The following is an 8,867-nucleotide window of genomic DNA, read 5'->3' as shown; positions in this document are numbered from 1 at the left end:
TTCTTCCCCACCCTGACCAGGGTGTTGCCCGGCACCCACCATGGTCAGAACCTTAATGAGAGCCCCTGACCAGCCCCAGCTCCATCCCGTCAATGCTCTATAGCCATCACAGCAGCACATCACCCTGCTTCATTTGTTCAATTGCACCCCAGCCAGCGTAACTCTTAGATTTCAGGATGGTGTCCACCCCCTGAGTTGTCCTCAGGTGCACCATTTGACCTTGTCCCATGACATCCTCACACAGGATTCACTCTCTCCCTTGTTTGCACCAGACTCGCGCCCAACCTTGCAAGGTCCCTTTCTCCCTTCCCTGCTTAGAGCACTCCCTCAACACTATCTGTACATTTTACTCTTTTTCACCCTTCACTCCTTAAAGATGTTTGTCCAGACCACCCCATTTAAATCTCCACCCCTTTTTGACTCTTCTCTAAAAGGTTTGTTTCTTTTAATGTGAAGATAATTGTCTATAATTATTTTCTATGTATTCTGTGTTGTGTGTTGTTATCAGTTTATTGTACTCCTGCCTCATTTGCACTTGAAGCCCCAGTAGGGCAGAGGCCACACCTTCCTCCTACCCTAGCAAATTCCCAGCAAGTAGCAAAATGCCCTGCAAGTCTGACATTAACCCCCCATCATCTGATGTTATCCATCGCTCACTAGTCCACCTTTCCACCTTGCATGTTTCCACATGTTTTCATTGTCTCTGCCTTCTTGAGGCTTCCCAACCATATTCTAACTAGAATTCGACGAACACGTCTTTGGAGATTGTTCCCAGTGTTCTTGTAATTGATTTGTCAGTTTTTTACTCACTTGGAAAATGTCACTTGTATAATACTATGACTGTTATGTGAAATTCACACTGTTTTCTCTGTTGCCGAAAACTTGCTCAGGTTTGTAAATGTGCCAGTGATACTGGTAAGCAATGTACATTCTCTTATTTTAGATATTCAATGTGATACATTCTAAAGCAATTCTGAGATGTTTAGATTACAGCAATTCTTTAAATGCTGTTACTTGGATCATATTGATTTCTGCCTAGTGTAAATGACAAAATTGATAGGGACATGTTCATATCTCCTATTAGTTTGTTTCACATCACACTAGAATTTGAAACAGAGTTTGATTTACATAATTTGATGTTGTCCTTTGATAAGTGAATGGCAGAAACCCTGGCCCTAGAGCACAGAAGGGCTGATCCGGGCTGCCTGTCTTTAGTCAGCGTGTTTTGTTCTAACAAAATGCCATAGATTAGGCTACAAACAGCAGATATTTATTTTCTCAGAGTCCTGGAGCTTGGAAGTTCAAGATCAATGTATCAGCAGGGTGGGCTTCCCCTGAGGCCTCCCTCTTTGACTTGAGATGGCCGCCTTCTCCCTGTGTCATGACATGGCCTTTTTCTGTGTACCCACATCCCTGGGGACACTTTCTATTCTTATGAGGATTTTAATTCTTTAGGATTAGGACCTCAGTCTTATGAGCTCCTTAGCCTTAATTATCTCTTTAAAGGCCCTATCTCAAAATATTGTCACATTCAGGGTTAGGACTTTAGCCCGTGAAGTTTGGATGCCTGGAAGTAAGAGGCAGGTTGATCTCACAGAGTTGGGCTGCTGCTATGTTCAGGCAGGGGATACAATTTGGGCATTTTATGTGCCTTTACCCTGGGCCAACAGTTCCCTTGGAGGTGAGCATCTGGCTTATGGTTCTTTAGTTTTTTGTGGAAACGTCTCTATTATCCTTGCAGCTGATGAGCTCCTGGCAACACAGACAGTCCTCAGTTTCCTGAATTCTCTCACTCACTCAGAAAAACAAAAATGTCAAGGCTAGGTATGGACTATTACAGTTTAGTAAGTAATCCCCTTCCTTCCCTCTGGAATTGAGAACTACTGATGAAAGTGAATGAAGGAATGAGGACAGTGTCAGATGGAGAACAATGCATTACTTCTATTGCTCCTAAAATTGAACTGGAGAAAGGGGCTTGGATGTCTAAAAAACTGACTTTCAAAAGTGCCCCTTAAATGGTACCTACTCCAGAGGATCCCATCCCTCCTCCCTCTTCCTGCCCATCTCTCTTTGGAGGAAAGCAGTCCTTCTGGGGAACTCACCACCCACTGGTGAAGGGAGCACTCACTCCAGGTTATTCTTCCAAACTCACTCATCAGTTTCTTTCCTTCTCCCCGGGAGGGAAAAAGTGCGGGGAAAGAGAGAGAGCCCAGAGCTTAAAATAGACCTGAGATTCTCAGTCTTAAATAGTATTGAGCAGCTCAAAGAACTTTTGTGGATCAGGGTTGTATCTTTCAATATTTACAGTATTAGTAATTATAACTCAGAACTTTACAAATGTTTACTTATTAACTCCTTTAGAACATAAATTGTATGCCTATTCCATGTAAACATGAATAAATTTTAGAAAAAATAACTATGTTTTCTTTAAAAAGTTATGTTATTGAGAAGAGCAAGATGGTTTTGTATTTTGCAGACCTCTTAGAGGCCCAGCAGCAAGCTGGACATTCACAGCTGCTTCTGCATTGGTGTAGTTTTCCAGTTGGCGGCTTCATCTCACCTCATACAGTCTCTGGAAAACTCCACTTTCACTCAGGAGTGCATGAGTGTGAGAAACACAGACTCACTTCAATACTTCAAGTATTACCTGAAGATTATGTTGGCCTCCCTTCCCCTAAAAAGGTGTTGGGGACCACATCTCAAGAATTACTCCTCTGGGGTGATCCCCACCTGGAAATAAGGGCTGAGGGAGTGGAGGCACCCACCCTCTCACACCAGTTCCCTTGTTTGGAATTTTTAAAGAGAGAGGCATCCCAGCATTCACCCCGCAGTAGGGCAGAACTGTGTGGCACATCCTGAGAAGGGATCAGCGGGTGACCAGGACTGAGCCTCTGCCACCTGGAAGAAACTGTACCCCAGGACTGACCAGAGTGTCTTGTGGAGTTTCGGCCTCACCAGGAGGCACTTGAATCATGGTAACCATAAGACGCTGCACGGGACAGGAAGATGAATAGTAGCAATAGCAACTAGAGCAAATATGTTCACTGATGATTTACTGTATCTCAATATTGCTCTAATCACTGTGAAAACATGAAGCCAGTTTTCACACTCTATTAATAGGTAACATTATTATCCTGCTTCAGCCTAAGCCAAAAGGCTGCTTGGCCCACTTAGCTGATTGTTATCCAATGGTCCCAGCACATTTATAACAAATATAGTCCTTCACTATTGTTCTGATTTTTGGTTATCAATCATGTTTAGACTTATGTGGGTCTGTCTCTGGGCCTTCTGCTCTGTTCTGTTGGCCTATTTATCCACCCTTGGACAACACCACACTTGATGTAGTTACTGCATCTTTCCCGTGCATATCTATGCCCAGGAAACTGAGTCCTCCTACAAACAGCCAGAGAAGAACAAGACATATATGTACAGAAAATCAAAGATAAGAATGAAGCAGATTTCTTGTTGGAAAGTTGCAAGTTGTATGACAGTGGAGAAAATTCTTTAAAATATTAAAAGAAATAAATTTGTCAGCCTAAAATTTTTTACACAGTCAAAATATTTCCCAAAGAGATGGCAAAATAAAGAGGTTTTTGGAGACACAAAAAAGATGAAACAAATCATCACCAGGAGATATGCAGACTGAGAAGTGGTAAAAGACATACATCCAGCAAGAGAATAATGACTCCACATGGAAATCTGTGTCTATTTAAGGAAGGAGTCCTTTGCCCTGATGGTATCTTCTTAAGACGCTGAAATAAGTGGTGAGAGCCAACATTCTTGGCTTGTTCCTCATCTGGGGTGAAAGCATCCAGTCTTTCATTATTAAGGGTAATACCCACTAAATATCAACCATAGGATTTTTTTTTTGGTAGCTGCCTTTTATCATTTTGAGAAACTTCGTTTCTATTCCTAGTTGACTGAAATTTTTTATGAGCCTATTGGATTTTGTCTAATGCTTTTTCTGAATCTGCTGAAATAATGTTTTTGCCTTTTAATCTGTTAATGTGGTGAATTATATTGGCTCATTTTTCATGTTAAACCTGCCTAGTATCCCTGGGATAAATTTCACTTGGTCTTGATGTGCATATATTTATATTTCTGGTGCACATGTATGTATGTTCATGAGAAAGTGATTCTGTGTGTGGCGATGCAGTAGACCTAGAATAGTTAAAAAAAAAAAAAAAAACTTTGAAAAAAGAAGAAGCAAGTGAGACAGTTTATAATACCCGACTTCAAGGCTTATTATAAAGGTTCAGAAATCCAGATGGTGTGATATTGGTAACAGGATGGACAAATAGGTCAACAGAACAGAAGAGGGTCCAGAATAGACCCTAACATATATCTTCAATTGATTTTGAAGAAGGTGTAAAGTAAATTCAGTGGAGAAAGGACAATCTTAGCAACAAACGGTCCTTAGAATTATTGGATATACATATGCACATATGAACAGAACTTCAATCCATACGTGGCATCATACATAAAAATTAATTCAGAATTTATCATAAACCATAATGTAAGACCTAAAGCTGTAAGCTGTATGTAAGAAAAGAAAAGAGAATATCAGTGTAACTTATGGTTAGGAAAATATTTCTTGGATGAATACAAAAAGTATGATGCATAAAAGAAAAAATTGATCAATTGGATTTCATCAAAATATAAGATGTGTGCACTTTGAAAGACCCTGTGGGGAGAATGAAAAGGCAAGTTCCAGGCTGGAGGAAGTGGTTTCAATCTCACATCTGATGAAGGACTCATATGTAGGATCTATAAAGAGCTCAGATGAATGGGCCCCTGGCAGCCCTTGGGAATCACAGGGGTGCTGTGCCATGGACAGACATGGAAGACACCTCCCACCCTGTCATTCATGTCTTCTGAGCTGCAGTACTCAATGTCCCCTACAAATGCCCCCTCCTGGGCCCACAGACCCTCCTCTCCCCACATCCACACCCTCAGGCCAGGCCCTGGGGCTCTTGTTGGGACAGGGCCCCTCCTGCAGGATACAGGGAGGGAGGAACTGTCAGTCTCAGGCTCTGGGTGCCCAGCTTCAAGCTTACCCACCTCAAGGCCCTCTGGGCCCATCTCACAGGATATAATGAGGTAGTCTGGCACCTACTGGACATGCTATCTAGATCTAATCCTGAGCTGTGGAGCCAGAGGAAAGGAGGGATGTTTGTTGGACCAGTTACCCTGTTCTGCCAGGTCTCACAGGGCCCTTCCCTTAGAGGCCAGCTCTAGACACACAGCACAGAGGCCAAGAGGTAGCCAGCCCAGAACCTGCAGGCTGGGCTGGGGACCACACGAGGACTGTCTGGGGACAGCCAGAAGACCCCTCACTAGTTTTCTCACTACCTCATTTCTTATCAGCTACCTTACCTCCATCAAAACCCCCCTTCACGCAAAATCAGTAAGAGGAGGAAGATGGTAAAAGAATCAACGGGAAGAAAACAAAAAAAGGACAACCATTAACAGTCCAGAACCCTGGGTGGGAAGAGTGGAACTGGGAACAGACCCTTTCATTTCAACAGAGCCTTGACTGAAGGGGACTCCATCATCCCAGCAAGGAGGGAAGATTGAAACACTAGGTTCACTTGGAGCTGATCCCTAAACTTCTCCTGAAACCCCACTGATATACTGACATGTGACTGCAGATGCCAGGGTTGCCTGTGGCATATTTCTAGAAAAATCACAGGCATTTATCAGTTTGTGGGACAAGTTTATTTCCAGAAGCTTCTGTGACCCAGAAGCAAAGCGTTAGCAGCTCAGAGTTGTAGAATCAGCATCTCAGATTATAGGATTATAGGATCTACCAGGTCGTAGATCTCACTATTGCAAGACTTCCCATGATTCAATTTGTAAAGTTCTCATCACAACTGTGATCATCAGCTTGGACTCCCGTGACTGAGACCACAAACCGAGTAGCTTAAACTACAGAAGTTTATTCTCTCTCGGTTCTAGGAGGCAGGAAGTCTGAGATCAAGGAGTGGGCAGGATAGGTTTCTTCTGAGGACTCTTTCCCTGGCTCCTAGATGGATATCTTCTCCCTGTGTCCTCACATCGTTGTCCCTTGTGGTGTTTGTATCCTAATCTCGTCTTCTTATAAGGACACTAGTCCTACTGGATTAGGGCCCATTCTAATAATCCATTGAATTTCACCTCAAGTAAAGATTAAATTAAGGGCTAGTGTGAGCTCTCATCTCAGAATCAGAGCCATTACTTCAGTCCCAAAGCAAAGGTTACCTGGCTGTTTTGGATGCACTGAGGCAGACACCTCCTTCAGAGCCTGGTCCCAGAGACAGTTTCTACTAACTGCTTGTTTTTCTGTGTATGGGCCTTACTTTATTGTTTCTTTGCATGTTGTATTATTTCGTTCTTTCTTTTTTAACTTAGCATTTTAAACAGTATAATGTGGCAACTCTGGAAGTCATATTTTTTCTGTTCCCAGATTTTACTATTGCTAGTGGATGTTTTTTGATCAGGTTTTTAAAAACTATCTGTCAAGTCTGTTCTTTTTTGTTTTTTTGTTTTGTTTTGTTTTTGTTGTTGTTGTTGTTCAACGTGGCCACTGAAGTCTCTGCTTGGTTAGCTTAGTGGCCAGGTAAAGACTGGACAAAGATTTCCTTAGGTTCCTGGAAGTAATGTCTCCCAGTGTATGTAGAGAGGCTCTGTGTGCAGGTAGATACAGGTCTTCAAAGCCCAACCAAGCAGTTTACACTGTGTCCTAGCCTTCATTTCCTGTCTGTGCAGTGCCTCAAACTTATTCAGGGTTAGAGCTTAGAGCCTGCTCAGGTCTGTTCAAAGCATATATGCAGCACTTGTCATGCCCACATCTATGCATGCATGTGGCCGTCGGAACTTTCTGGAGTATATTAAGGCTTTTCAATCCCCTTTATGGGCATCTCATTCCCTGACATTTCGTTTTTAAGTTCTTGGTTAGGCTATTGTTTGTTCCAACTGTTATTTATGACCGTCGGCAACCATGATGTTCAACAACTGCCTATGATTCTTTTTACTCATTTCCCCAGGAAATACATTGTTCTCTCTGGGATAGCTCTGAGTCAAGTCAAATAAGGATAGCATTGTGAGTTCTAGGGAACAACCAGACAGGTAAAATAATAACAGTCCTCTGGAAATAAGGGATTAAAGGATCTGTAACCCTATTGTGTCCCCTCCAGTGATTTCATGTCTGCTGGTTTTCACCATGATTGTGGACCGTTGGTTTTTAAGAGCTGAGGAGGAAGGAACAGGAGTGGAACCAGTTAAAACATCACAGAGCTCACTGTTCTTATCAAGATTCAGCTATTATTCTTGAACAAACACTCCCCAGATTGCAGCAAGCCTTTGGTTAATTTCTAGAGTTCTAAACAATATTAATTCTGACAATTCTTCCATAGTTCATTTTACTCTTAGGAAGTAGGTCATTTTTGGAAGTCATTACTCTGTTATTTTTGTTGATGTCACTGTGTTACTGGAAAGGGGCCCCAATCCAGACCCCAAGAGAGGATTCTTGGATCTCATGTAAGAAAGAATTTGGGGCGAGTCCATAAAATGAAAGCAAGTTTATTAGGAAAGTAAAGGAATAAAGTATGACTACTCCATAGACAGAGCAGTGGCATGGGCTGCTCAACTGAGTATACTTACAGTTATTTCTTGATTATATACTAAACACGGAGTGGATTATTCATAAGTTTTCTGGGAAGACGGTGGGCAATTCTCAGAACTGAAAGTTCGTCCCCTCTTTAGATTACATAGGGTTACTTCTGGACATTACCATGGCATTTGTAAACTGTCACGGCATTGATGGGAGTGTCATTCAGCATGCTAATGCATTATAATTAGAGTATAATGAACAGTGAGGAGGACCAGAGGTCACTTTCATTGCCATCTTGGTTTTGGCCGGCTTCCTTACAGCATCCTGTTTTATCAGCAGGATCTTTGTGACCTATATCTTATGCCAACCTCCTATCTCATCCTCTGACTGAGAATGCCTAACCTTTTGGGAATGCAGCCCAGCAGGTTTCAGCCTTACTTTACCCAGCCACTACTCAAGATGGAGTCACTCTGGTTCAAACGCCTATAACAACAGTATGGTTTTTTGTTTTATTGGAATTGTTGCTTTAGGGATTATGATATAAATATTTACCCTTTCATGGTCTACTTAGAATGAATAGATCCATTTATTATTATTAGTTTATTCAGTAATTGTCATATGTATTACATTTGTATGAATCCCCATCAGTGTTGTACTTTTTAGTTCCAACAGAGATACATATTTTAAATAATTCAAAAAGAGAATAATATACGATTGCATTTACCCAGATAATTACTCTTTCTGTTGTTCCTTTTTCATTCATGATATTCTGATTTTCCCTCTGGTTTTATTTCCTCTCTGCCTGAAGCAGTGCAATCCATGCTTAAAAGCATTTCTTTTAAATCAGATGAGTTGGTGATACCTACTTTCACTGAGAATATCTTTACTTCATCTTCGTTTCTGAAGAATATTTTAACTTTATATAGAATTGCCTAAATGAGTGTCAATTGTGAGGAATGGGAATTAATGACATTGGCTGCTAAAATGGAGTGAAGAAGGTAGGTGAACAGCTCTGGTCTAAGACCAAGGTTCCCATGCAGGACTTGGTTTTTCTGCTGGGCTTTAAGACCCCAAAGCCCAAGAAAATGCTATCGTCTTATGAAATTTCCAAGAAGAAGACCATCCACCTCACCTTAAAGGTGGTGAAGCCCAAGATGCGGAGCTGCCCATGTTTCTGGTGGAAACATGTGATGAGGAGCAGAGAAATCTCCTCCTGGCATGACTTAATTTAAAAAAATATGGTAGATTATGGCATCAGAAAGGACAAATTACATTT

The 8,867-nt window shown here is 41.7% G+C and overlaps 1 pseudogene; it reads left to right on the top strand.

Moving 5' to 3' along the window:
- On the top strand, window positions 8,543-8,813 carry UBDP1 (ubiquitin D pseudogene 1; annotated as a pseudogene).

This window comes from Homo sapiens, chromosome 6, assembly GCF_000001405.40.
Source record: "Homo sapiens chromosome 6, GRCh38.p14 Primary Assembly".
NCBI classification, from domain to species: domain Eukaryota; kingdom Metazoa; phylum Chordata; class Mammalia; order Primates; family Hominidae; genus Homo; species Homo sapiens.
The sequence above is the reverse complement of the archived record's forward strand: the minus strand, read 5'-3'. Positions and strand labels throughout refer to the sequence as shown.